Source organism: Homo sapiens, chromosome 18, assembly GCF_000001405.40.
Source record: "Homo sapiens chromosome 18, GRCh38.p14 Primary Assembly".
Classification (NCBI taxonomy): domain Eukaryota; kingdom Metazoa; phylum Chordata; class Mammalia; order Primates; family Hominidae; genus Homo; species Homo sapiens.
Window position 1 is genome coordinate 48518226 of NC_000018.10, and position 27296 is coordinate 48545521.

A 27296-nucleotide genomic window follows, 5' to 3' on the forward strand; every position below is an offset into this window, starting at 1 on the left:
TAAATATTGAACAGCATGTCTTCCAACCATGTCTTCCCTTCAACATGTCTTCCCTTTGACAGTAATCACTGCATCCTAGAATGTGATCTATTTCAATGCCGATTTCACTCCAGCATTCCACACACCACCATCAAAATGGAGGACAGGTGAAAGGCCTGTTGGGGAGAGCTAGAAGAGCAGAACAGCTTCCACAGGGAACATTTGTCCTTCACTCAGCAGGGCTGCAGACTGACCAGGAGAGCATGAAATCACCACGTCAATCAGAAGAGCCCACTGGCTAGGGGAACCAGAGTTCTAAAAGCCTTTGGAGGAGACAAAAAGGGCCATTCCTAGATAATTGCCTTCTTGGAACCAGCCACAATTGGGCTCCATATGCCCAAGTCCTGGAGCTCTTTGGGATATCTGATTGACTTCTTGTATGGTGCATGAACCTGTGTGTGTGTGTGTGTGTGTGTGTGTGTGTGTGTGTGTGTGTGCGCGCACGCACATACCATGGGAGAAATTGGAACCTAGGTCCACGCAGGTCTCAGTCCAGGTTCAATAGTACTTAGAAAATTTTAAGGAAGGAGTTGGGAGGGGTAGGCAGGTCCTGAGGCTCAGGTCGATGCCTGGGTCCTGCTTGCCTGGATCTAAGGGTGGTACCAGGTATAGGGCATGAGTTGGAGGCACCACAGTTAGGTTGGTCCCATAGGAAGCTGGCTGAGGCCCTTTAGAACAGCTCACTTTAGCAATGGCTAAAATAAGAGGCAGCGAGGCGTAGAGGATCTACAGTGATGCATAAGAAGGTCTGACAAACTCCCCCATGCGATTTTAAACTCCTTAAGGACTTCCATGTCTATTCTTTTTTTTATATGCCTCACAGCATATAGCATAGGCTGTGAGGATTTAATAAGTGCTAAATAAACTCATTTATTCTTTCAGTCATTTAAAAACTTTTACTGAGGTTCTGCCTCATATATGCAAAGAAACACTAGGCTTTGTGAAGAATACAAGGAAATACACAATCCAATCCCTGACTATGAGAACATTCAGTTGAAGAAAGGGGTTGTCAAACCTGAAATTATGACAAGAATCCATCCCTTCCCGAAGTGTTATATAGTGTCTAGTCCCTGGGACTCAATAAATATTTGTTGAATGAATTAATGTTCATATTAGGAGCTTTGGATTATCATGTCCAGAATATAGGCTCCCATTTGGGGGCTACAACGAAGTAAATAAATAAGCATTTATCAAACATCCTGGGCTGGGCACTGATTAGCACCTGAGAAGCAACAGAGAAGATTCGTGCCTGCTCAAAGCTGATAATCCCACTGGGGAAAGGAGGAAATCTACAGAAAACAATCAAAGAACCAGCAAAGGTATTATGGATCTGAGTCAAAGCAGGTGACTCAGACCTTAGGGTACACACCTGTGTGCCCCTCATAGCTCATCACACAAGTTGCATAAACACAAGTTTAGTTAATGAGGAAACAAAGATATAAAATCATAGATTACCTTATAGGAGCTTACACCCAGAGCCAGACCTTAGGGAAACAAATAGAATGTCTCTTTGGTGCTATCCTAACATCCCTCTAGGACCCTCTGAATTTTGCTATTCTAAGGTACTAAGACCCTCTTTCCAGCTGCTCAGAGCCTCTATACCAGTGTATCCCTTGGCTAACTCGGCCTGGGCAATGAATCATATCCTGAACCTATTTCCTACTTCTCCACACTCACCATCACATCTACCCACTAGAGCAAATATTCAGGGCATAAATCTATGTCCCCAGGTTGATGTCCTCAAACTTGGCCCAAATAAACTCTCCATATATATATTTAAAATTACCTACTTCCAACTCTTTCTTGTCGATCGGTGTGAGAATCTCTTGCTGATTAGTATCAAGTGACTGATGATACTTGCGTGAGTGCCTCTATTGCCTGCAGGTAAGACCTCCTCTTTCCATGCCTAGAGAATGCTGGGGAATATGCTGAGTGCCTTTCACCTTACCCCGCAAGGCAACTGGGAGTTTTGAAACTAATGAGGCTGATTGTAGTCAGAGCCACTCTGAAAGGGCCACTCTGTGAATGTCACAGTTCTTAGATGTCTAGAAAGACGCTTCACAAAAATGATACCACCTTTTGCCTACAAAAGAAATCAGTACAGTTAACCCTTGAACAACATGGGTTTCAACTATGCAGGTCCACTTATGCACAGATTTTCTTCTACCTCTGCCACCCCTGAGACAGCAAGACCAACCCCTTCTCTTTTTCCCTGTCTTTAGCCACTCAATGTGAAAACGATGAGGATAAAGACCTCTTTGATGATCCACTTTCACTTAACGAATAGTGAATATATTTTCTCTTCCTTACGATTTTCTTAATAACATTTTCTTTTCTCTAGCTTACTTTATTGTAAGAATACAGTATATAATACCTATAACATACAAAATATGTGTTAATTGCTAGTTTATGTTATCAGTAGGTTTCTACTCACCAGTAGGCTATTAGTACTTAAGTGTTTGAGGAGCCAAAAGTTACTAGCCAGGCATGGTGGCACGCACCTGTGGTCCCAGCTACTTGGGAGGCTGAGGTGGAAGAATCACTTAAGCTCAGTGGTTGAAGCTGCAGTGAACCCTGATTGTGCCACTGTAGTACAGCTTAATGACAGAGCAAGACTCAGTCTCAAAAAAACAAAAAGCCCCCCAAAACACAAAAGTTATACGCAGATTTTCAACTGCATAAGGCTGTTGGCACGCCGAACCCCACATGGTTAAAGGGTCAACTGTACTTAAATTCCACCATTAGAAATAATATATAAAGTGCTGATATCATTGGTAAGGCTAATCCAGGGATTTGTAATCTAAAAGTCATCTATAATCACGATCCTAGAAATCATCACATCTGGGGTTCTCAAGCCTGGCTTCACATCAGAACCTCCTGGGAGACTTTTAAAATACATTGATGCCTTGGCTCTGCCCCCAGATATTCCTATTTAACTGGCTGTTATGGATCCTGGATACTGGTAGTTTTAAAGCTTCCCAGATTGTTCCAGTGTACAACCAAGACTGAGAATCACTGACCTAATCCCTCCTTGCCCCCACTCCTTGACATTATTCATGAGGAAATGAGAATTAGAGAAGGGTGACAGGAACTTGCTCAAGTTTATAAAGCCAGGTAGTGCCAAAGCCAGCACTAGACCCTCAGCCCCTTGGTTCCTGCTCAGAATACCACCTTCTACTGCACAGCTATAATGATGGATGAGAATGCTCTTCCTGAGTGCAGCTTTTCATAGAGAAGGGATGGGGAGAAGGTCCAAGGGTGCTGACACCTGGGAAAAGGAGAGGAGGAAGAAGGTACCCAAGGTGGAGAAACCACGGTCAGGTGTGCCCCACTTTACAAGAGCAGAGTGCAATGCTGGCAGGCAACCATGTTCACATTCATTTGCACAGCCTGTACTGGGGGAAGAAGAAATTAGTTTAGTCCTAAGATTACACTCTGTGGTCATTGTTGCAGCCTCCACTGTTACCAGCTTTGTATCACTGTCAATGTTACCGCAGTCCCCAAGCCCAGGTACAATTCCCAGCTCTGAAAAGGCCGCACAGGGCCTGCTCTGCTCCCTTCCCTTGTCCAGGGAAAATTGCAGTCGACACAAATACAGCCAATCCCAGGAGACAGTCATGCTGAAAGGGCCCTGTGTCCTAGAGGCTGCATATAATCCCCAATTATCCCCCAGTTTCCCCAGGGAGAGAATGGAGAGGTGAGGGCTTTCAAAAGCCAGCATCCCTTCAGTCTCCATTATGCGGAGACTCACACAGCCTCCTTTCTCCAAACAGCACAGAAGGTCACAGGGACACGGGGCAACAGAGGCAGCTCTTTCAGGCTGGGAGAACAGCCTTCCTCCCTGTCTCAACCCAACCAGAGAACCCCAGCTTTCTTTTTAAGCCATAGAAATGAAGATGGGAGCACTGCTGCAGAAATCCAGCATCACACGAGTTGCCTTCCAGCCAACTCCGTGGAGCATTGGTTAAGACCTACAGAGAAGTCCAAGCCAGGAGGTCTTGCTGTCATCAAAGACAGCAAGGTCTTGCTGTTCCGTGCTCTGTGCTCTGTGAACTCCTTTCTGACCACCACCCCTCACCCAGAGCCACTCAAGTCCTCTCTCAGCAGCACTGACTGTCCTCCCTGGTCATCAGACTCCACCTGAAGCTGTTCTCTGTCCTTGCCCTTGTGTCACTGCATGTGTCCGCCACACTGGCAAGTCCTCAAGGCAGGAAACACACCATCTTCTTGTCTAGCTTTGCTTCCCCACGTGAATTAACACAGTACTGAGCTCACAGTAAACCCAAGGCTGTAAATATTCATAGAATTCACTAATATATTGGGAGATAAGCTATTTCCTGGCCTCCAAATGTGAATCTCTGGGCTTTATTTCACCCTCTTTTTCACCCCTAGAAACACTTAAGTTTTAGCAATGCACATACAGCTCACGAAAAGCACTTATCCCTACATTCTACACGTATTTAGAGGAGGGTGTATCCTGCAGTATTTAAGAGTATGGAGTCCTAATGCTTGGATTTTGAGTCCTAACTACCTGAGTTACTTTGGGCAAGTAATTTAATCTTTTCAAGTCTTGGGTTTCTCATCTGTAAAATGAAGATAATATTGGTGCCTAGCTCCTTGCGTTGCAGTGAAGATTAAAATAGGTACCGCAGGCCAGGTGGGGTGGCTGACACCCGTAATCCCAGAACTGTGGGAGGCTGAGGCAGGAGAATCACTCGAGCTCAGGAGTTCAAGACCAGCCTGGGCAATATAGAAAGACTCTGTCTCTACAAAAAATTAAAAAATTAGCTGGGCATGGTGGCAACGACCAGTGGTCCCAGCTACTTGGAAAGCTGAGGTGGGAAGATCACTTGAGCCCAGGAGATTGAGGCTGCTGTTAGCCATTATCGTATCAACGCACTCCAGCTGGGCAACAGAGCGATCCACTGTCTCAGAACAAACAACAACAACAAAAAGACTTACTGCAGGTAATATTCTTAGCATGCTCCCTGGTACATGGTAATTGCTAGATAAAAGTGAGGCACAGTCATTAGAGAAATGCAAATCAAAACCACAATGAGATACCATCTCATGCCAGTTAGAATGGCCATCATAAAAAGTCAGGAAACAACAGATACTGGAGAGGATGTGGAGAAATAGGAATGCTTTTACACTGTTGGTGGGAGTGTAAATTAGTTCAACCATTGTGGAAGACAGTGTGGCGATTCCTTAAGGATCTAGAACCAGAAATACCATTTGACCCAGCAACCCCATTACTGGGTATATACCCAAATGATTATAAATCATTCTACTATAAAGACACATGCACATGTATGTTTATTGCAGCACTATTCACAATAGCAAAGACTTGGAACCAACGCAAATGCCCATCAATGATAGAGTGGATAAAGAAAATGTGGCACATATACACCATGGAATACTACGCAGCCATAAAAAGGATGAGTTCACGTCCTTTGCAGGACATGGTTGAAGCTGGAAACCATCATTCTCAGCAAACTAACACAGGAACAGAAAACCAAACACTGCATGTTCTCACTCATAAGTGGGAATTGAACAATGAGAACACATGGACACAGGGAGGGGAACATCACACATCGGGTCCTGTTGGGGGTTGGGGGGCAAGGGGAGGGAGAGCATTAGGACAAATACCGAATGCATGTGGGGCTTAAAATCTAGATGACGGGTTGATAAGTGCAGCCAACCACCATGGCACATGTATACCTGTGTAACAAACCTGCACGTTCTGCACATGTATCCCAGAACTTAAAGTATAATAAATAATAAAAAATAAAAATTAAAAAGTGAGGCATAATTATTGATATTTATTGAATACCTACATATCTTTTGGCTGGCATGGCACTGTGCATATGAAGGGAGAAAAAGCAAATGTGTGGTGTTAAGATTCATAATCTATTGGGGGGAAGACCCTTAAAAAACCCCTACATAGTATTCTTACCACTGCAATGTAGAGATACAGACAGGGTATTTTGGGGAGTACAGAGCAAGAAACCCAAGAAGACTTCCTGAAGGAAGTGACAACTGAGTGTGAGATGAACAGAGGGCTAGAGATGGGGTGGGGATCGCATTTTAGCCAAAGGAAACTAGGTGAACCAGGGTTTATGACAACCAGGGGCAAGAACCATCCCATTAAGTGTGTGTAAGGCAGTAGGAGAACTGATTGTTTCATATTGCTGGAACATTAAACTGAAGACAGGACGTAGTAAGACCATGAGATCCTGCAGCTACCTCTTCCTTTCCCCCATCACCAGTGTTGGTCAACAGAGGCGCCTCAGAGTGAGAGAAGCGGAAGAGAGTACCTCCTTGGTGTCTGCCATCCATTTCCTTTAGGAAGCATGTGCCAGAGGATGACGAGGACCTGACGATAGAATCTGCCTTACATCTGAGCCCTGCACTGAAGCACTGCCATCCATGTGAGCCCTGCACCAGGGCAAACTTGCAGGATTGAATGGCAAAACCCACGGCTCAGAGAGCCCCTCATCTGGGATCACCACCTCCAACCAGGAGGCAAGCTGGGCAAAGGTGTGGAAGAGAGTCTGTGCCCCATGTGAGCCTCCTGCCTCCTTGCCTCCTCACAGGCCTGTCCCTGGAGTGCAGTGGTCACTGATCCTGGTCGCCACAGACCTCACCACACACCACACGGAGGGATGAATTCACCAAGTGGAAGGACCTGCTTGGTGTGGCAGGAATTGCCCTTTTATGCTCTTACTCAGGGGGTGGGGCCACATCTGCATGCCAGGATCTGCCCCCATGACCATCTAAGGAAATTCTCCCTCACCAAGGTCATACACTTCCTGGGTCTATTGCGCTGCCTTATGGGGCCTGCTGCTGCCAAGGGGAGTGATGGGTACTTGCGGTTGGTGCAGGAAGGAGGTTGGAATCCACGACACACCTCTTACAAAACCCACACATTAATGATCTCTCCGAGCCTTGGTTTTCTCTTTTATGAAATGGAAATGATAATACACATCACACAGGGGTTTCCTGAGGATCCAATAAAATAATGCATGTGTGAAACTTGGCACATATTAAATGTGAAGAAAGGCTAGTGACTATTGATGTTGATGTTGTTCTTCCAAGGATAAGTGCTGTAATCCAGTTCATGAGTTTCACTTTGTGCTGTGTCTCAGGTACTCTGACAGGTATGGGGGGTTCTGAGGCACAGATGACCTAGCACTTGTCCTCAGGGATTTTTAGTTTGGTGGTGGAAGGAAATAAGTAAAAGGATGTCACACTTTGAGGTATAAGTACTGTTGCAGGGGCAAACACAGGAGATGTGGGAGCCCAGGAGGGAGTTTAACACCATGTGGGGCTGGGGAGGAGGCAGGCAGTTTTTGGAGGATGCAGCTTGTGAGGGGAGTCCTAAAAAAACAGGGGGTGTAAAGCCCAGTGAAGGAGTGGGAGAGAGGGAAGAAATGAATCCTGGCTCAGGGAGAACATTCCAGGTAGTAGGAATGAGGGCAGGATTAAGTATTCTGGCAAGCCATAGGCTGTCCTGGCAATAATGAGGAAAATATGGTTTGGTGAGCAGGGTCCATCTGATATGAAGGCTATGTCAGAACAGCAGTTTTTGATGGCTTATCTTTAGTGAGTGTGGCAGGCATGCTGGCTGCCTGCTAAATATCCATGCTCCTTCTTCCTCACCAACAGGACTCCACATTCTTGAATATGACAAATGCCCAGGTAAAAATCCATTTCCCAGCCTCTCCCCAGCAAACAGGGATGGACAGTGAAGTGTGTGTAGATTTTTTTTTAAACTTTTTTGGTTTTGAGACAGGATCTCACTCTGTTGCCCAGGCTGAAATGCAGTGAAGTGATCACGGCTCACTGCAGTCTCAACCTCCCAGGCTCAAGTGATCCTCCCGCCTCAGCCTCCAGAGAAGCTAGGACCACAGGCATGTATAACTATGCCTGGCTAATTGTTTATTTTTATTTTTGTAGAGATGAGGTCTCACTATGTTGCCCGGGCGGGTCTCAAACTCCTAGCCTCAAGCAATCCTCCCACCTCAGCCTCCCAAAGCACTAGGATTGCAGGCGTGAACCGTTACACCTAATCTTTTTTTTTTTTTTACTTTTTATAATAAAAAAAGCCCAAACATACACACAAGTACAGAAAATAGTGCAAGAACCTCTATGTACTCTTCACATAGTTTTATAGCTATCAACTGTCAACTTGGTGTGGCAGGAATCAACATTTGCCATTCTTGTTTCATCGGTCCTTCCACTTGTCTTTTTTTTTTCTAGATTATTTTAAAGCACAGACCAGACATTATATTATCTCCACCCATAAATATTTCAGTGTGTCTCTCTAAGGGATACTTTCTTTTTTAATGTAACCACAATACTAATATCATACCTAACAAAATTAACAATAATTCCTTAATATCATCTAATATGCAGTCTGTATTCAATTGAGAAATCTCTTTAAGGGGACTGACTTGGTAGAAAACTAGGTGGCCCTTTGCCCTTCTCCCTCTCCTTCTGCTGTTACAGGATATTCAGATGGCCCAAGCCCAAGTCCCCACTTTCACAAACTCACCACTTTGTGACCATGAGTAAACTTTGACAGCGGAAACCACACACTGGGGAAGGTGAAATGGGAAGATGGGAGGAGCTGGGACCCTGATGGCCACGCAGCCATCACACCAACATGAGACTGCCTAACTCTGGTCATTTTTCTTCCTCAGTCTTGCTTTTTGTATTTTTTAATTAATAGATTTTTTAAAACTTATGAGCAGTTTCAGGTTTATAGAAAAATTGAGCAGAGAGTACAGACTTCCCAAATCCCCGACACCACCCCCACCGTTTCCCCTAGTATTGACATCATGAATGAGTGTGGTGCATTTATTACAGTTGATGAGCAAATATTGTTATGTTATTGTGAACTAAAATCCACAGTTTCCCTTAGGGTTCACTCTTGCGTAGATTCTATGGGTTTTGATGAAGGCATGATGACTTTTATCCACGATTATAGTATTGTACAGAGTAGTGTCACTGCCTAACAATCCTCTGCCTATTCATCCCTCTCTCCCTGCTAATCCCTGGCAACCACTGATCTTTTTACTGTCCCTGCCTTTTCCATAGTGTCATATAGTTGGAATCGTACAGTATGTAGCCTTTTCAGACTAGCTTCTTTTGCTTAGCAACATGCATTTCAGATTCTTCCATGTCTTTTTGTAGCTTGATAACTCATTTCTTTTCATCGCTAAATAATTTTCCGTTGTCTGAATGTCCCACAGTTTGTTTATCCACTCACCTATTGAAAGACATCTTGGTTGTTTCCAAGCTTTGGCAATTATGAATAAAGCTGCTATAAACATTTATGTGTAGGTTTTTGTGTGGACATAAGTTTTCAACTCATTTGGGTGAGTACCAAGGAGAGCTACTGCTAGATTGTATGATAAGAGTGTGTTTAGTTCTGTAAGAAGCTGCCAAACTGTCTTCCAAAGTGGCCGTACCATTTTTCTTAATGTGGAGAGAAATCTTCCTTAAGCCGCTGTAATTTGTATCTCTGTTATTAGCAGCTGAATGCAATTCCTAATTGATAGGGTGGGAATGTGTTACTGAGTGCTGATTAGCTGGACAGAAATCTTACACCAACACACTAAAAAGTCAGAAGTAACTGCTGATCTAGTCATGCGTTCTTACCCATCAGCATTACTTTTTTTCATGAGGTCAGACAAGATTGTCAGATATATAACAAAGATATGACTGTGTTCTAATTTTCTATTAACATTATGATGATAAGAAAAGATTGGCTTGTCTTTTTATTTAGGTCCTGTTAAGGAGTCTCCACATGATTACTTCTTCGTAAGTGCTTGCAAACTTTTTGTTTAATGATCTGTTCCCGCTGTCTTTTGGCATTTTTCTGGTCTTCATAATTCCACCAAGATTAAGGATAGTGGTTTGACAGTTGGGTCTACAAATCCTGTCCTAGTTGGAATCCTCAAATGCTGAAGTGAGCAAATATTCCCCATTATCATTATCCAGTAATCAAAATCATTTTAGCGACTTGATTTGGCTTCATGCTGAGCAGTAGATGTGTTCTGGGGGAAAACTATATATACATCACATTGTTATAAATTAATTCCTATTTTAAATGAACTGGGAAAGCTTGTCACAGCAGAGGATAATGCAGTGAATCCTTCTATAAGGCAAATAATTCCATTATATGAATAATCACCCTCTAATTTAGTTCTCTATGAATATGTAATGTTCAAATAATGGGGATTTCAGGGTTTTTTTTACATATGGAGATTAGAGCTGAATGTTTGCTTATATTCAATTCCTCTTTTCTTTTTTTAACATCATCATCATCATTGTCTTCAATGTTGTTTGTTGTCATCACCAGGAAAGGCACCAAATTTTAGAAATACATGAAAAGAGCTGCCTTACTAGAGGTTGTCTTATCCACCAATAAGCAGGTCTTGTTCTGTGCTGAGGAATCCTATAGCTTCCTCAGTGTCTACATTCAATGGTACAGAATGATTACCTGGTTGTGTGACCTTGGACAAATCACAAATTATATAAACTCTCTGGGTCTCAGTTTATTCATCTGTAAAATGAGAATGATGATGGCACATTACTCATGGGGTTGACTTGAGGATCAAATGTGGCAACATAGAGTGTCTATGTTATGTGTTCAATTAATGTCAGCTATTATAATTGCTTTTCGAAGTCGTATTATCATTAAACGTTCAGGTTAGACAAGCCCTCCCCTTAAAAAAATAACTATGACTGCATCACACCCATTAGAATGGCCACTATCCAAAACAAGCAAACAAATAAATGGAAAATAACAAGTATTGGCAAGGAAGCAGAGCAATTGGAACACTCGTGCACTGTTGTGGGAATGTAAGATGGTGTAGCCACTATGGAAAACAGTATGGTAGTTCCTCAAAAAACTAAAAGTAGAATTACCATATAATCCAGCAATTTCCCTTCTGGGTATATATTCAAAAGAAATGAAAGCGAGGACTCAAAGGGGTATTTGTAGACCCACGTTTGTAACAGCATGATTCACAACAGTCAAAAAGTGGAAGTGACCCAAGTGTCCATCCATGCACAAGTGGGTAATCAAAACGTGGTATATACATGCAATGGAATATTATTCAGCCTTAAAAAGAAATGAAATTCTGACACGTGCTACAACAGGGAATAACCTTGAGGGCATTATGCTAAGTGATGTAAGCCAGTCACAAAAGGACAAATACTGTATGATTCCACTTACATGAGGCACTTAGATTAGCCAAATTCATATTAACAAAATGTAGACTAGTGGTTTCTAGGAGCTGGCGACAGAAGAGAATGGAGAATTGTGTTTTGGTGAGCACATAGTTTTAGTTTTGCAAGATGAAGAGTTTTGTTGATTAATGCTAGTGATGGAAGCATAACAGTGTGAATTTACTAATGCCAATTTTAAGTGTGCAGTAAGCATACAATTAAATGTTTAAGATGGTACATTTTATGTCATGTGTATTTTACCATTTTTTTTAATAAAAAGATTTTTACTATTTTAAAATTATAAAATAACCACCATGATTAGGAGTTTTCTATACCTAGGAAATGGGAACACATCCAGTGGTAGAAGATTGTAGGGAATGGAGAAGTGACAGTGTGGCCAACCCAGAATGCTCTTTAGCAGAACTGAATGCCTGTCATAGCTGACAGATGAGCCACTCAGAACATGCTTGCATTTGTCAATGATCCCTCCAGCTGACTCCACAGTCGACTGGTTTCACAAAGCATAACACTGGTTGTGATTTGTGTCTGGGTAACCACAGCTTCCAGAGATGGGCCCTGTCCAAGAAGCTGGTATTCAAAAATTACAACTCAATTGATAGGAGAAGAGTTCACTGGTACTGGCTTAGTAATTAAATTGCGAGGTGATTATTAGTCTGCTCAGGCAAAAAGATCACATGTGAGTACTTTAAGTAGCCTAAGACTAAAAAACTCCTCCCAGAAAAAAAAAAAACAAACCTGTAACTAAATTCATACCATTTTCTGCCAATTATAGATGCCCTCCAGTGACTTTAAGGTTGCCACAGCAACATGCCCACTGAAAGGTTGTCTTAGTCCATTTTGTGCTTCTATAACAGAATACCTGAGACTGGGTAATTTATAAAGAGAAGATATGTATTTCTTACCTTTCTGGAGGCTGAAAGTCTAAGGTATAGGGGCCCACATCTTGCAAGGACCTTCTTGCTGTGTCATCCCATAGTGGAAGGTGGAAGGACAAGACAGCACACATGAGCAAGAGATCAAACTCACAGACTGAAGCCCTTTCATAATCAGCATTAATCCATTATGGGGTGGAGCCATCATGACCTAAACACCTCCTAGTAGGCCCTGCCCCCCAACGCTGTTGCATTAGGGATTAAGTTCCCAACACATGCTTTTTGTTAAAAAGAAATGTGTTAAATAATGCATTGGGACATATTCACTATAGCATAGGGCATGATTGCTAAGTCCTGAAATATATGGATATAGCAAAGAGAGAATGTTTCACATCTTATCTCTGTGTCAAGCCAAAATTTTCTTCTAGGGGTAGGACAGGTGAACTGTCACCAGGCAGCTCTCCTCTCTTCTGTGGCGCAATCTGAGGTCCCAAGCTGGCTTGCCACCTCTGCCACTGCCCCACAGGGAGCACAGCAGCCCGGCATTTCCCCTACACTGCTCCCTTCCCCTGGGTGGTCTCCCAGTCCACATAAGCTAATAGGCATCCTCCCTTGTTTTTCTGAAAACCTCCTCTGCCACCTCTCCCAAGCAGGGTTCCCTGACCAAGTGGCAGCTTGGTGCTTTCTAGAGCAGATCCCATTCAATCACCTAGCTCTGCACAAAATAAATTCAAAGGCTTCACACACCCTTTGCCTTTGTTCAAGTCCCAGACTTGCTGAAAATCAGCTGACTCCTGTGAAGGTGATAATGGGGAGTAATGCTGTGAACCACACTGATACTGAAGACACATTCCAGAAAGCTGCTGATGAGGCAAAATTTGGTCTATCAGGTCTGACATTGCATGTACCAGACGTGCTGCTACTTAAAGAAATGATGGCTACTTCTTTTGTAAAAGGGATAACCATCTTACAAAGTGTCTTTTGTGTAAATTTCTATTTTTATATATTAGTAGGTACATTTTAGAATTTAAAAAGCTGTCTTGAGTCATTTCTGGAAAGAGTGGAGTATAAACAAATCTGATAATTTTGCCAAAACGGAAAAAGAGGTGGGGTGAGGGTAGTGGATCTGCATGTGAGAAAGGGACAGAATGACAGCTCATGAAGAACCATGAGAACAGATCCTGATTCTGCAAGTTCTACTGAACCCTCAGAGGCCCTGCTGAAGATGAGGATGAGGATTACTGGGATTAGGGCACAAGCCAGTGTTGGATCTCACAGTCTGGGTCAGGCTGGGAGTGGCTCCCACAGTCTGGGCCATACTCTACTGTCTACCCGCATTATAACTGAAAAACAAAATCTAATCTCACCCTCTTGAGTCATAGAATAAAGTCCTAATTGGTCAAAACTTTTGTTCCTGGTCCCACACAGCCTATCACTTGGGTAACAGCAAAAATAATAACAATAATAACCAAAAAATAAAACCTGGTGTTACTATAAGTCCTTACTATGTGTGAAATGCCTTGTATACATCATCTCCTTTAAGCCTTATAATGACTTACTGAGATATGTTCTATTATTTCTCTCTTTTGTAGAGGAAATGGAAGCTTAGAGTTGCCCAAGGTCAAGTGGTGATAAAAGGGGAAGGCAGGATGCAAATCCTGGTGTCTGCCTCCTGAGTCCAGTCTTGAACCAATGACACACAACTAACTTTCTGGACTTCGTGCCTCCTCCTCCCCATTGCTCAGCCCCTCCCCGATGTGAGTTCCCACTTCTAAGCTCCTGCCTGCCTATCACTGGGAAAGCCCCCTTTCCAGCCCTGGTCCCATCCTATCACACTCATGCCTGGCTCGGTTCCACTTCTCCCTTGAATGTCTCTCTGCTGCTCTAGCTTACAAGGGTTGCCTTTTCCCTGAACAATCACTCTGTCTATATTACACATATGGCACACCTTGGATTTTAATATTTTACTGCCATTTCTGTTTAAAATGTGTATGTCATCTGAACTAAACTGTGAGGTTCTGTAAGCCTAAATTAATGCCCACTTTTGTGTGTGCTGGTCATTCATATTCAACTTTGAACAAATGCGTTATATATAATAAATACTAGGGTATAAAGGATCATTTAAATAATTTTTTAATGTTATCTATAAAGAGTTTTTAATAACACAGAAAATATGTGTTTAATTTTATTACATGAGAAAAGCAACATGCAAACATGCATAAGCAATGCCATCTCAGCTATTATAATTCCACATGATAAATCACGTGTAGAAAATTTGAAACATAAAATATACAGGGTAATAAATAGGGCAAGAAAGGCATGGAACCTCATTCAGATTTAGTGACTGCATCTTCATTATTTCCTGCAATCATTTTCTTATTAACAAATTAGAGAATGTGACAAACACTCAAAATCCAGAATGTAGTATGTGGACCCCCTACTATGTATGTCTCAAAATGAGCCACCAGCATGTCTGAAGAAAATATTGTGATATTTACTGAAATTTATTTTTATGTCAAAAATAGGCAAAAAGAGTAAACTTCCCTAAGCGCAAAGGATCTTTTGAATCATTAACATAAATGAACACATACACATCTCTGAAGTCTCAATTTAAAAGAAAGAACACTTTATTATAAATGCACCATTGAGGAAGAATGATGTTTCCAAAATTTCCTGCAGCTGGAGTACAGGTGCTCACCAGGGACTCAGAGAAGGTAGATCCTAATGTCTTGAGATGAGGGGCGTAGTTAACTCACTGGCTCTGAGGCCCACAGCTCTGGGTAGACCACCACCTACCCACTGGCTGCGTGCCCCTTGGTAAGCTACTTCACCCCTTCCGGTCTCAGTTTGTTCCCCTGTAAAAGTTGCTTTGCCAACTAAGTGAGACAAAGCACACAAAAAAAGTTTCGCTTGTTGCTCTGTAAATAGTAATAGCTCAATTAATATAGTAGCTATTGTTCTTTGAAAGGGGACTTAGAGATCCTGGAAGGCTCAAGGGCAATTATTTTGCAGATATTTCAGAACAAGACTTGAGCAGACAGGATTTATAAACTGACTGAAGAGGGAGACACCTGGGATAGAAAACGGAAGGGCATCTTCAGCAGGGGGACAGTCCCAGCTAGAGGGATCATATTGGCCTAACTCCTCTCTCTGCACTTCCTGTCTTTCAGGCTGTTCTAGATGTGGCTCTTCAAACTACAAAGATCGGAAGTCACTCAACCTAGCGCAAATTAAAGGGGATTACTACAAGAATATGGAGTGTATTAGGCTGTTCTTGCATTGCTATAAAGAAATATCTAAGGCTAAGTGATTTATAAGAAAAGAGGTTTAATTGGCTTATGATTCTGCAGGATGTACAGGAAGCATAACACTGACATCTGCTTCTGGGGAGGCCTCAGGAAGTTTTACTCATGGTGCAAGGTGAAATGAGAGCTTTCAAGTAACATGGTGAAAGGAGAAGCGAGAGAGAGAGAGAGAGAGAGAGAGACAGAGGTGGGGAGGTGCCACATACTTTTGAATGACCAGATCTCACATGAACTCACTCACTATTGTGAAGATAGCACCAACGGAATGGTGCTAAACCATTCATGAGAAATCCACCTCCATGATCCAACCACGTCCCACCAGGCCCCACCTCCAACATTGAGGATTACAATTCCACATGAGATTCAGAGGGAACACAGATCCAAATGATATCGCAGAGGTATATGGAGTCCAAGAGAGGCATAGTGAGGGAGAACTGAAAAGGTAAGGAACTGAGGCTACTCTAAACATGTCTCTTTCCCTCTCCCTCCTCTTTCCCCCCTCCACTCACTTCTTCTGCTTACTTATCTTGCACTCGACCCACCTAAAACACAAGCCTTGACCTGAGCAGCCATCACCAATGAGCAGAGAGAGGTTTCTCAGCCTCTTACTTCAGATTCTTACAAGAGGAATTCTGATTGGCTCAGTTCCTCTGATGGAGCCACATCCACTCAAGTCCAGCCTAGCCCAAGATCCCATAGATCGGGTGTATACCTGTGGTGTGATCAGCACTGCCTTCCCCTCCCATTTTTTTTAGAGTGTAGACTGGCAAACAAGGAAACTTGTCTCTTGCAGAGATGTGGGGTGTATCTTTGTCCAGGCCTTCACCATGAACAAGGCTGTGGTGCTCACGCCACCGACTTAGGAGGTCTGACCTTGAACTCTGGGAGACTTGAGGAATGTCTGATGACTCACAGGCTGACATTGAATCAGTCCATGTCCTTAAATCTTGCAAAAGGAAATCTGCTTATTTTATATTCCCTCATGGACTTCAGGGCTTTGTTTAACAAATATTACAAACCTTTCCTGCTCTGCTGGAATTAAACAGCTTAAAATTCATCCTTTTGGCTACTTAATTTTCTTGCTTCTTTTGCCAGTGAGATTATAACATTCTTGAAGGGAGAATTTCAGGTGTGGTGAAGATCTTAGAGATCATTGAGGCCAACCTTCTCATTTTACAGGTGTGGAAACTGAGGCCCAGAGACAGGAAACGTCACACAGCAGGAGAGGGGCAGGTGGGACCCGGGATCCCGTTTCACACACTGTGTTCCCCAGAGTACCTTGCCATGTCTTAGGCACAGCATTGTCCCAACAAATATTCAATTGCTTTATTTCATATTCTGCTTTTGCTTTTCTCAAGCTCATTGTTCTCTATTCACATCCCTTCTCTACCACCGACTTCAATCTTAGGGGATCACTTTGCATGTGCCTTTCAGGTGTTGGTCTTTGGGGTTGTGTAGTGGAAGGTGAGATGAGGCATGGGTGAAATTTCACCTGGTTCTATCAAGCTGTTATCTCTCCAGGCCAACACCACGGTAACAGAGCGTAGACACTAGACTACCAACTTCCTTCCTTCTGCACTGTCAGTGGCCTCCAAACTGCATGATGAAGCCACTCTCTAGCTCCCACAGTAAGTCACTAGTTCTGCAATGCCTCCTGGGCCAACACCGCATAACAGGAATTTTGGCCACTGCTGACCTTCTCCCAGTGGGAAGTAACAAGTGGATGTAGCCCCACCTTCCTCCCAGAAGCCTTCTCTGATCCTTGTAGCCGACTGGGAACTCTTAGTTCATTTGACATCACTCTCACACAGTGGAGCGCTTCATTCATTTTCCTGTTATCTGCTGGGCATCAGCCTGGTCTCAGCTCCTGAAGGTAGGTAGCTTCTCTCCCCCAGCACCTACCTAGGCTCCCACCAGGCCTTCAGTCAATGTGTGGACTGACCAGTAACTTTTCCCTGGAACAGCTATGGCTACGGGGGTGAGTGGAGAGAAGTCATGGCAAGAAAGGAGAACTAGTACTTTTTGCTATTATCTTAGGCAAGTGTGAATGAGGAGAAGCAACTCCTTAAAACAAACAGAAACATTCTGACTTTTCATTTCTAGGCAGACAGGGAAACTCCTGGCCACTCAAAATCGGTCACAATTAAACCAATGCTAGCATCATTTGCTTCAGGAATCTCCAGTTCCTTCACTCTGCACCCATTAGCTCTTCCGACCCAAGCCTGCAGGTTGGGCATGAAATCAATCCCAGAGCAGAGAAGGAACAACAGACAACGGGCCACATAAGCCCCAGGCCTCCCACCTGGGGGAACTCTGGTCTGAGGCATCTACAAGGCCTTCCCCTCAAAGATCCCCATTCCAGCCTGAAATGCCCATCATCAGAGGCCACTGAAGAGAGCGCTCAATAAGAAGACAAAAGTGTCAGAGTTAGAGGAGAGAATCAGAAGAATATCTTATATGTTAATGACAGTTTATTAGACTGGAGGTAGAGCCCAGAGCCAGGCACTGAGGATGTGGAAAACAGGAGGGAAGTTTGGGTGGGCAGGCAGCAGCAATGCAAAGCCCCAGGCACTGCCCAGAGGAGGCAGCATTAGGTGGGGCAGCAGGGTAGGGAGCAGAGGAGCATGAAGAACTTTAGCTGATGTGGGTTAAGAGAGCTAGGCCAGGAGCAGGGGAAGGTTAGAATTGGGTCCAGGTTCCTTGAAGACAAACCTAACTGATTTCACATATTAAGATGTGTCACCCTCAGGAATCCTTCCTGCACTACTAGCTCTGCTGGTGTGAGTCTGCAGAAAGAAAAATTCAGGGATCATTTTTGAGGGCCAGAAAGACTCAGGACAAGAAAGGGCATCAGCCATCTTTGAGCACTTTCCATGTGACACAGTCAGCATAAACCCACGATCACCACTGGTTCTCACAAGGCCAAGAAAAGTTGTTGAGTAAGTGGCCCAAGGTCATCCCTTATGAATGTTAAGTAAGCTGCCCAAGGTCACAGAGCCAGGACGTATCATGCCTGGGATTCAAACCCAGGGGTCACACTGACACCAGAGCCTGTGGTTCCCACTGCCCCCTCACCCTAGGTGCATACCCCAAACGGAGGTGTGTGCTCTCCGTGGAAGCTTCACGTTCCACATGTTGCTCAACCTCTAGCCTCTCCTCACCTGAGGGTGCGATTTAAGCAAAAGCAAAGCCAAAACCCAGACAATTTTATTCTTATTTCCTTTGCAGGTGGCATGCCTGTCACACAATATGTAAAAACCAACAATGACAACAGGGTAAGTAAATGGGAATTTGCTGAATGTGTATATTCCAGTATTATTATATAATATTTTGTAAACCCAGGAAATTGTCCAGATGTTAAAGCATACAAATAACTCACTGCTGAGCCAATGAGGCATAAATGCTAAGAGGGACAAACCAACGGGAAGAGTCAGGTGTGCTTAAACCTGTTGCTTTGGAGTGGACGACGGTTGCCTGCCACCCAGACAACTGGCCTCTAGTACCCACTCTGTACCGAATCATGGCTGGGCATGAGTTGCTTAACTCTCTGGGCCTGTTGCCTCCCTCCTGAAGGGAGGGAATGACAGCCACCATGGCCTTTGGTACAAGAATCAAATGAGTTGTTCTATAGGATGTGAATGTCTATGCTGTTCTGTGTCTCAAGCCCGGGAGACAAGTTCTCCACACAAAACAAAATCCCACCCATCCTTCAAGGCCCATGCCACTCTCCATGGCTAATTTTTTAAATTTTTTGTAGAGAAGGAATCATGCTATGTTGCCCAGGCTGGTCTTGAGCTCCTCAGGCTCCAAAACTGCTGGGATTGTAGGCCTGGGACCTTTCGAATTAGCTCTCTTCTCTCATCTGAAGCCTTTGTACCCTTTAACCTTAATCAGGTGCTTATCCTTTCCTCTCTCTTTGTTAAAAATCTTAGAAATTCTTGCCGGGCACGGTGGCTCAAGCCTGTAATTACAGCACTTTAGGAAGCTCAGGTGGTGGATCACGAGGTCAGGAGATGGAGACCATCCTGGCTAACACAGTGAAACCCCATCTCTACTAAAAATACAAAAAAAAAAAAAAAAAAAAAAAAATTGGCCAGGTGTGGTGGCGGGCGCCTGAAGTCCCAGCTACTTGGGAGGCTGAGGCAGGAGAATGGCATGAACCAGGGAGGCAGAGCTTGCAGTGAGCCAAGATCACGCCACTGCACTCCAGCCAGGGCAACAAAGAGAGACTCAGTCTCCAAAAAAAAAAAAAAAGAAAAAAAAACTTAGAAATTCTTTGCTCAAGTATCACTTCCTCCAGGAAGTCTTCCTGACCCTCTCCCAGACCCCACCCACCCTCCATCCAGTTGGCTGCTCCAGGTTGTGTGGTGGGGGGAATTTCACAGCACTTTGTGTTAAGCGCTGACTTATCCCTTGTATAATACTTTCATTGACTGTAGTCCCTAATACTGGACTGAGCTCCTTGAGCGCAGAGACTGTGAGTCTTACCTGTTTTGGCATTCCTAGACACACCTGGTCTGTGGAAAGTGCTCACTAAATGTGAATATAAACTAATGAATAAATGGGTTTCTACAGCAGTTTATACTGCATCACACAGTTCCTCTAATGAATTTCTAGCCCCCTTCCCTGTTGGGGCATACAGTATTTTATTCAGTATTTCTCCTGAAGGCCTCTCTGTGCCAAGCTCAGTTTTAACCAAAACATTGGTGATCTGGTTAAGTCATTACTGAATTATCCACTACGTTGAATTCTCCCAACCACCCCGTCCCAGCCCTTAGCTTGGCCGAAGGAAAATTAATTGGTTGCAAAGTGCGTATCTAATTACAACAGCCAGCCCCCGACACAGAGATGCTCAAATGTTAATTATAACATATGCATCTCAATAACCGACGGTGGCATTTAGTGCAGCATTAATCACGCCACTTGGGCCCCCCAGTGCATACACAAAGCTCCTTTTCATCTGCCATTAGCACAGACTTTGCACTTTCGGCACGGACGTTCTCATCCTTAAAGCCTTTCGGACTCTAAAACCAACGTTTCCCTGTAAGCCTGGACTGCGCCTAAGCCCCCAGTTCTCCCACCGCAGAGGCCCCCACCCAGGGCTGCGCCAGCGCCGTGGGGTCGCTGGGCGGCGGGTTTTGGCGTCGCTAGACTGGGCTGTCTTGGCAGCTAAGGCGACATCCCGAGCGTCCTGGGGCCACCCTGCTCTCCAGGGCCCGCCATCCTGGAAAAGAAAGGCGAACTACATTACCCAGCAGGCCTCCAGCCGCCCTCTTTCCTTTCAAGTCTTTGCACGTGGCCGGAGGGGAGGGCGGGGCCTGAACGTCACTCTCCTACATTCTCTTTCCCTGTGTCAGATCAGGGATCATTTTTTTTCCTTCCTCTACTCCCTCCCCCCTACCCGCCCCTCCCTCCCTGTTTCCCTTCCCTCCCTCCCTCCCCTCTCTGCTGGGTCTGTGCGCTGGGGCGCCCGATCCCCTCCGCAGCTGGGACGCTCCGAACTCGAGGCAGGAGTCGGCTCTCCGGAGCCTCGTCCCTCCCTTCCCCTTCCCTGCCCCCTTCCCCCACCCCCGACTCGGGCTTGGCGCGGCGGCCAGAGGAACCCCGAGGTGAGCATCTCCTCGCCCGTCCTCCTCTTATAGTCATCTCAGCTTGCTGATCGATTCGGGGACCCGGGAGGAGGGCTGCGTGACGTGGGCGTGCTTATAGATAAATCCGGGAAAACCGCCCCAAACAATCAGCCCCCTTCCCCCCATCCCTGCTCCTGGGCCAGCGGGGTGTCCGCACCCATCTACCATCCCCTCCTCCCCCTCGGTGGGGAACTGCACTCCACAGTGTCGCCCCCTCCCTGGGTTTGTCCCATTCCCTGCCGGGTTCCCCGCCCCGCGGGGTGTCGTGGCCCTGGAGCTCCGGCGCCAAGGGGGGCTCTTGGGGGACGCACGGCTGGAGCCCGGCTCGCTTTGGAGCTGCGCGGTGTAGCCGCTGTCATGTGCCGGGTTCCGACCTGGGAGGAGGAAAAGAGCGAGCGCGATTCCTCTCCCTTTTGTTTTGAAGCCCGCATTTGCTGCATCGAGCAGTTGGTTTAGTATCAGCCAAACTTGCAGCTGTTCAGACCGCGCTCCGCCGAGGTAGGGAGCCCGTCTCGGGGTGGCGTTTGGGGGCCGGGGGCTGCGGCACTCGGGGCTGCGGGAGGGACCCCGAGAGTGTGTCGCCACGCCGCCCCTCCCTTCCCCGGTGACTGATTGTGTCTGTGGCAGCGGGCGTGTGTGAGTGTGCGCGCCCGTCCCCGCGGGCTCGGGGATGTCTGTGGATGGCTGTCGTCTAGACAGGGCGCAGCCCCCTCCCTGCGTCCCCGGTGAGCCCGCGGGCCGCGGGGGGAGCGGGGGATGGGAGCAGAGGAAGAAACCAAATCGGTGGACCCGTTGCGGTCTCCCCTTTGGTTATTCCCAACGGTTGTGGTTCTGTTGGCTTTTTTTATTATTCCTGTCGCTGCGGTGCAATCGGGCCTGGGGAATAGATACGCCCGGCGGAGAGGGGTTCACTTGACAGGCTCTGAAAAGCCACCTCTGGGTGGCGAGTGACCCGAGAGGCCGTGGGGTGGGCTCCGGCTCGGGTTCATCAGGACGACGAGCAGGTAACTGTCCCGGGCGCCGGTCATGGGGGAGGGCGGGCGGGGGGGCGATGGCTTGGGCTGCGGCGAAGGTCTGGGGCCTCGGAGGGCCGCGTGCCGGTGCCTGGATGTGGCCGGAGGGGGCGTCCGGGACACCGCGCGCCTGAGCCGAGTGTTTCTCTATTGATGGTAAAAGACAATCGGGAGGGGGGTGGTCCGAGCCCGTTATCTGGGCGGCGTTGGCTCTGTTTGGTTCCGCGGAGTTTTCAGGGTTGGGGCTGGGGGGTGTGAGCACCGCGGGGTGTGCGGCGTGTAGAGGGGAGGGCTGACTGGCGGCGCCGCGTGCGTCTCCACCCCGAGGAGTGAGGCGTCGCCTCCCCCGCCCGGCTGTTTGTGTGTACACACGGCTCCGGTGTGTGTGGGGGGCGGGGACCGCAGACCGCGGCGTAGTGGGGACAAGCGTGGGCCCCGATCCTCCGCGCGACCTGTCCCGCCAGCCCCCTCCTTGTCTAAGTCGGGGTCGTGTGTCCCCGCGCGCGCGCGCCCGAGTTACTTGGAGAGGGGACCGTGCGGCTGTGGGCCGGGGAAGACCGTAGGGTCGCGTGTGCTGGTCTTCGGTGCAGGAGTCCCAGGTCCGCTGTGCGGCCGGAGTCACACAGCCCCTCCCTCCGCGTCCGCGACGCCCCGTGACCCGGCAGACTGGGGGTCCACCCGGCGGCGCGGGGGGTTGGTTTGGCTGCGCCGCCCCCAGTCCACGCTGGGGTGACCCCGCACCGAGGCGTTCTATGGGTGTGCGTGCCCGCGCTCGCCGCCGCTGCCTTCGCAGACCGGGGAGAGAGTCAGCGACTGCCAACCGCAGCCCCGGCTCTTCAGTCTGGGGACAGTGGGAGCCCAAGCCCAGCGCGCCCCAGCCCGGCCCAGGCCGCCGCCCGCCCGGCGCTGTGTCTCTGCGGCCCGAGGATTATCCCCCAGTCCAGGGGCCCGCGCGACCAAGGAGGAAGCCGCTGGAGCCGCCGGCTCGGCCGCGGCTAGAGCCTCCGTAGGGCGAAAGTGACACAGCGCGAGAGAGCGCCGCCGCTGCTGGAGCCAGGGCCGAGAGGAAGGAGCCGCCCAGAGCGCAGGGAGGGGCCGCCGGCTGTCCGTTCCCAGTTCCTCCTGCCCAGGGCCCGATCTGGGCTGAAAACCTCAGGAATCCAGGCTCCTAGCAGGCTCGGGCTGCGCGAGGAGATGGCCTGGCTTTCAAGAAAACCCAATTATACGTGAACAGAATGCACCGAACAGACGCTAGAGGATGGCCAGGACACGCTCAGGTTGTCTGGGGAAACTCCTGAGTGTTTGACACAGGATTCGATTTACACACAGATCACCTCATCTGTGTCAAGTATCTGTCCTGGATAATGGATGCTCAGAGGCAGCAATTTTGTAACACATTCTAGGGCACAGTGTCATCAGTGATTAACAGCTTGCTAGAATAATAATATGTTTGTATGACCTTACAGGGCAGGTTTTCTTCCCCCAGAACCTCCCCCCTCCCCCGCCAGATATCATAGCATTTATTAAGAGGGTCCTGTGAGGTAGGAGAGTATTAGCCCCATTTTACGGATGAACACACTGAGGCTCAAAAATGTGGCTTGCATAAGGCCTCTGGGTGGGGGAAGGGCCACATTCCCCCTTTTCTCAGCTTATGGCATTTAATTAATAGTGGCCACTTTTTTTCTGAGTATGGATTCTTGACACCTCAGGAAATACTGAAGCTAAAAAATAGAGTATATTATGCTGACACATATTCTTTCTCAAAACACTCTTGATTTGTTAACCATTCCTAATGAGAGCAGCCACTAAAGAACGGAAGTCTGCATTGCTGTTATTACCACGCATTTAATAATTTGCTGTTGGTGAATGGATAGCAGCTGTGATACATCCAGTTTCTACCAGAATCATATGTGCATATAATAAATGTATATGGTATGCCTGTTCATGTAACACTTACCTGTGTTTGTATGGCTGTGTTCATTGAGTCTTTATTGAATTCAAGGAGCAAAGAACTTATACATGCCTGCATGGATTTCTCAGAATTCATGCATGTGAAGGCTGTCAGACAGCCTGGAGGGTTATTAAGTTTAGCCAACTAATCAATTAATTAACCATTCACTCAATATGTACTGGGCACCTACATGTTTGTGTATCTAGAAGTGCATACAAAGAAAACTTAACAAATGTTAATTAAGTCCAGCAAATGTTTATGAAGCACCAGCCTCACTTAGGCCAGATACTCTGCTTCTCTACAAAGATAGTAGAGCAGAGATAGTTAAGTTGCAATGCAATAACACAGCCTACAGGAGGGAACAAATCATAAATATTTTAGAGCAGTCACCCTGGAACTTAGTTTCACATATGTTGGTTTCAAGGGGCCCAAGATGCCAGTTCTTATTCTAGAGCAAATGCAGAAGGAAGCGATGGGGAAAAAACACCTTGATAGCCTTGTTACCCTGAACTTCAGGCTGTTTGCAACCTCCCGGGAGGGCCCAGAGGTATGTTCTTCTGTGGAAGTTAGGCAGCTGATGGAAATTACCCTGAAGCCAACCAACAGGTTTCTGGCGACACGGAGCTAAGGAGATGTTCTCCGTGGTCCCGCCCCAGCTCAGATGTGCTGTGACTCAGGGACAGGCTGTGGCTTTGGTCAAGGTCTCACTCAGGCCCTGCCTGGGTGTAGGAGTTTCTGCCTTACAGGTCTGTGTAGGTGTGTTAATACAAGTCTGCTTTTTATCTAATCCCAAACTCACCGTCTGGTCCCAGATATTGTCCTCTAATTTCATTTCTGTTTTGGGCTCCATTGCCCTTGTTTTAAGGTTATGTTGTTTGCAGCTCAGGTCATGAAGGAGGAGGCAGGAGATGGGTGGTTAGGTTGGAGAGAGAATCCTGAGCCCAGATAGAGAACAGGAGGTACAAACATGCAGGCAAATTGCAGTTTCTGAGAATTCTCCACACGTGGTGGCATTTCTGCATAACTTACCTGATAACACAGCCCCATTTGATGTCCTTGGCTTGGCAGGGGGAGGGGGCGTCTACCTCTGGGCCTCACTGCTGACTCACCGGCACCCTGAGCTCAGCTGCTTCCTTTCAGGTTTGGGTTTTCTTTTGCCCCTGCCTCCCGCTGTGTGCGGTTTAATTTAGAACCTTGCTATAATGGTGGCCTTCTCCCTGTGTTAGCACCGTGCTCTCAGCATGCCTCTGACTTTGGAATTAAGGCCAGAGCTGTGGTTCACAACGGGGTGAGAACAGACACATCCTTGGATCTCCGGCACCCAGAGCTGGGGAGGACTTTGAAGATGATCTGATCTTCACGTGAAGACCTGAAGCCTAGGGAAGTGGAATGACTTGCCTAAGGTCATGGTGAGCCCTTAGCAGAGTGGGTAAAAAATCCTGGAATTTGAGATTTCATCCAATCTTCTTTCTATGTACCGTAATGCTTTCTGGAAAAAAGTTAGGTTCTTCCCAAAGAGTGAGAACTCTTTATCTTCTTCTCTCCTGTCTTCTGGTTCTGGGAAGGGCTCTGAAATTCATTTGACTTCTCTTTCCTTCACAACTGGCCCTTCCTGCCTTATCTTCATCTTTGGCATTCATGAGCAAATGAAGGTCTGTATTTGGGAAATATAGGGTGTCTTGGTGTCCTACAGTGCTCTTAAGCTTGGTCTGTGGCTTTCTGGCCCTGAGGCAGGGTCCTCAGGAACCTTTTGGAAGTGTTTGCAAAGCTGGGATGCGTGTGTACTTTTCTAGGAAGAGAATCTACAGATTTCATTTGATTCTCAACTGACTCAAGTAAGGACAAAACTACTGGTAGGGAGAAGGACAGAAAGGTTGGATAGTGGTTGGTTGACACTGGGGCTACTTTAATACGCTGCACTTGATTTGGCTTTACAGTTTGCAAACTATTTCACACAAATTATCCCATCTGCCTTTTATAATAGGTGGTTATCGTTATCAGCCTGTGAGGCAGTTGTTGTTATACCCATTTTGCAGAGCAGGAAGCTGAGCCTTCATGGTTAGTGGCATGCCCAAGTCACGAGTAAGCAGTAGAGCAGGGATATGAACCCTGACTTCAGACTTCAGGTCCAGTGCTCAGGGCTGAGGTGGCTTGCTGTCTGACATCATTATGATGAACAGAAAGCCTTGAACTTCCCAGAGCTTCTTAATGCCTACTGTTCACTCATATTCGGCCACAGAGCCAGACCCAAATGCTCACTTACCCAAGGGGTAGGGGAGATAAAGTATGGGAGGCAGTTACCATAGCAACGATCTGTAGAGTGGAGCCAGTTTGGGATGGTTTCATGGATGAGGTGAATTTGGGAGTAGGCCTGGGTAATGGTGGAGGAGGTTTTAGGCTGGGGCAATGGCCCAAAAATGGTTAGGGGGCAACTAGGTGCTTGGGGTGGGTAGAACAGACCTAAGAGGTTTACTTGATCATCCTGCAGTCGGTGCGAGCTTCACAGTAGTTGTCGGGCTGCTTTTCTATGCCTGTCTTTGTGCTAGGCCCTGGGGCTATGACAGTGAACAGGTACAGCCCCCTGCCTTCAAGCAGCCAGCTTTCTAGTGGGAGAGACAGATGCATAAACAGTTCCATTCAACGTCATGTGGGAAGTCTAGGTAGAGAGAAGCCCAAGGCCCTTACAGCGGCACAGACAAGGGGCAGCCACCTGCTCCGGCCTCAGATGTCAGGGAGGGCTTCCTAAAGGAGACGGCTCAGGAGCTGAATCTTAATGGATGAAAAGGAACTGGCCAGGAAAGGAGATGGGAGACGGGCATTCAGGGAGAAGGCATGGCGTGCGCAGGGTGTGGAGGCATGAGGCTGCCTGGGTGTAGGAAGGAACCGCAAGCAGTGAGGTCAAATGCAAAGGCGGAGATGCAGACAGCGCTCAGAGTGGAGGAGCTTTGTAAGCCTGGTTTCAGACCTTGGCTTTTAGCCTGCAGGTAAGGCATAGAGGAAGGACTTTAATCAGAGAGGTGTACAGCCTTGCTTGGATCGGAAGGGAACAGGACTGGGAGCCAGGCGGCCATGGGACTGGTGAGGCAGTAACAGGCTCTCCACGGCATCCAGGTCATAGGGGGTGAGACCTGGAACAAGGGCCATGCATCTAAGGATGGACCAAAGGTCATACATTAAAATTAGTTGGGAGTAAAGTCCGCAGTGATTACTTAGACTTGGGGGAT

General features: G+C 46.8%; 1 protein-coding gene across 23 annotated transcripts in view, besides 8 other annotated features; it reads left to right on the top strand.

Moving 5' to 3' along the window:
* Positions 1860 to 2068: a silencer, noted in NCBI's record as "fragment chr18:46046456-46046664 (GRCh37/hg19 assembly coordinates)". NCBI's record gives its function as "represses an EF-1alpha promoter that drives an FKBP-Casp9 reporter gene in an ReSE screen in phorbol 12-myristate 13-acetate-treated (for megakaryocytic differentiation) K562 erythroleukemia cells {active_cell/tissue: K562(+PMA)}" and the evidence as "EXISTENCE:reporter gene assay evidence [ECO:0000049][PMID:32094911]".
* The window catches only part of CTIF (cap binding complex dependent translation initiation factor), a 324187-nt gene continuing 317696 nt past the window's right edge, over positions 20806 to 27296 (top strand). For 11 of the 23 annotated variants that reach the window (XM_017026101.2, XM_047437966.1, XM_047437969.1 and 8 more), the window contains exon 1: positions 20806 to 21087. The gene's annotated coding sequence lies outside the window, so the exon portion shown is untranslated. Of the gene's footprint in view, positions 21088 to 21462; positions 21607 to 21777; positions 22113 to 27296 lie in introns of those variants that run through there. The other 12 variants (XM_047437960.1, XM_047437965.1, XM_017026100.2 and 9 more) reach the window with 3 other exon arrangements.
* Positions 20912 to 20991: a silencer, noted in NCBI's record as "silent region_9433". NCBI's record gives its function as "represses an Ori minimal core promoter by ATAC-STARR-seq in GM12878 lymphoblastoid cells {active_cell/tissue: GM12878}" and the evidence as "EXISTENCE:reporter gene assay evidence [ECO:0000049][PMID:35858748]".
* Positions 21492 to 21851: a silencer, noted in NCBI's record as "silent region_9434". NCBI's record gives its function as "represses an Ori minimal core promoter by ATAC-STARR-seq in GM12878 lymphoblastoid cells {active_cell/tissue: GM12878}" and the evidence as "EXISTENCE:reporter gene assay evidence [ECO:0000049][PMID:35858748]".
* Positions 22282 to 22371: a silencer, noted in NCBI's record as "silent region_9435". NCBI's record gives its function as "represses an Ori minimal core promoter by ATAC-STARR-seq in GM12878 lymphoblastoid cells {active_cell/tissue: GM12878}" and the evidence as "EXISTENCE:reporter gene assay evidence [ECO:0000049][PMID:35858748]".
* Positions 22692 to 23171: a silencer, noted in NCBI's record as "silent region_9436". NCBI's record gives its function as "represses an Ori minimal core promoter by ATAC-STARR-seq in GM12878 lymphoblastoid cells {active_cell/tissue: GM12878}" and the evidence as "EXISTENCE:reporter gene assay evidence [ECO:0000049][PMID:35858748]".
* Positions 24326 to 25102: an enhancer, noted in NCBI's record as "NANOG-H3K27ac hESC enhancer chr18:46068922-46069698 (GRCh37/hg19 assembly coordinates)". NCBI's record gives its function as "activates a minimal SCP1, AML or CMV promoter by ChIP-STARR-seq in naive and primed H9 embryonic stem cells {active_cell/tissue: H9 hESC(naive and primed)}" and the evidence as "EXISTENCE:reporter gene assay evidence [ECO:0000049][PMID:30033119]".
* Positions 25103 to 25877: an enhancer, noted in NCBI's record as "NANOG-H3K27ac hESC enhancer chr18:46069699-46070473 (GRCh37/hg19 assembly coordinates)". NCBI's record gives its function as "activates a minimal SCP1, AML or CMV promoter by ChIP-STARR-seq in naive H9 embryonic stem cells {active_cell/tissue: H9 hESC(naive)}" and the evidence as "EXISTENCE:reporter gene assay evidence [ECO:0000049][PMID:30033119]".
* Positions 26396 to 26961: an enhancer, noted in NCBI's record as "H3K27ac-H3K4me1 hESC enhancer chr18:46070992-46071557 (GRCh37/hg19 assembly coordinates)". NCBI's record gives its function as "activates a minimal SCP1, AML or CMV promoter by ChIP-STARR-seq in naive H9 embryonic stem cells {active_cell/tissue: H9 hESC(naive)}" and the evidence as "EXISTENCE:reporter gene assay evidence [ECO:0000049][PMID:30033119]".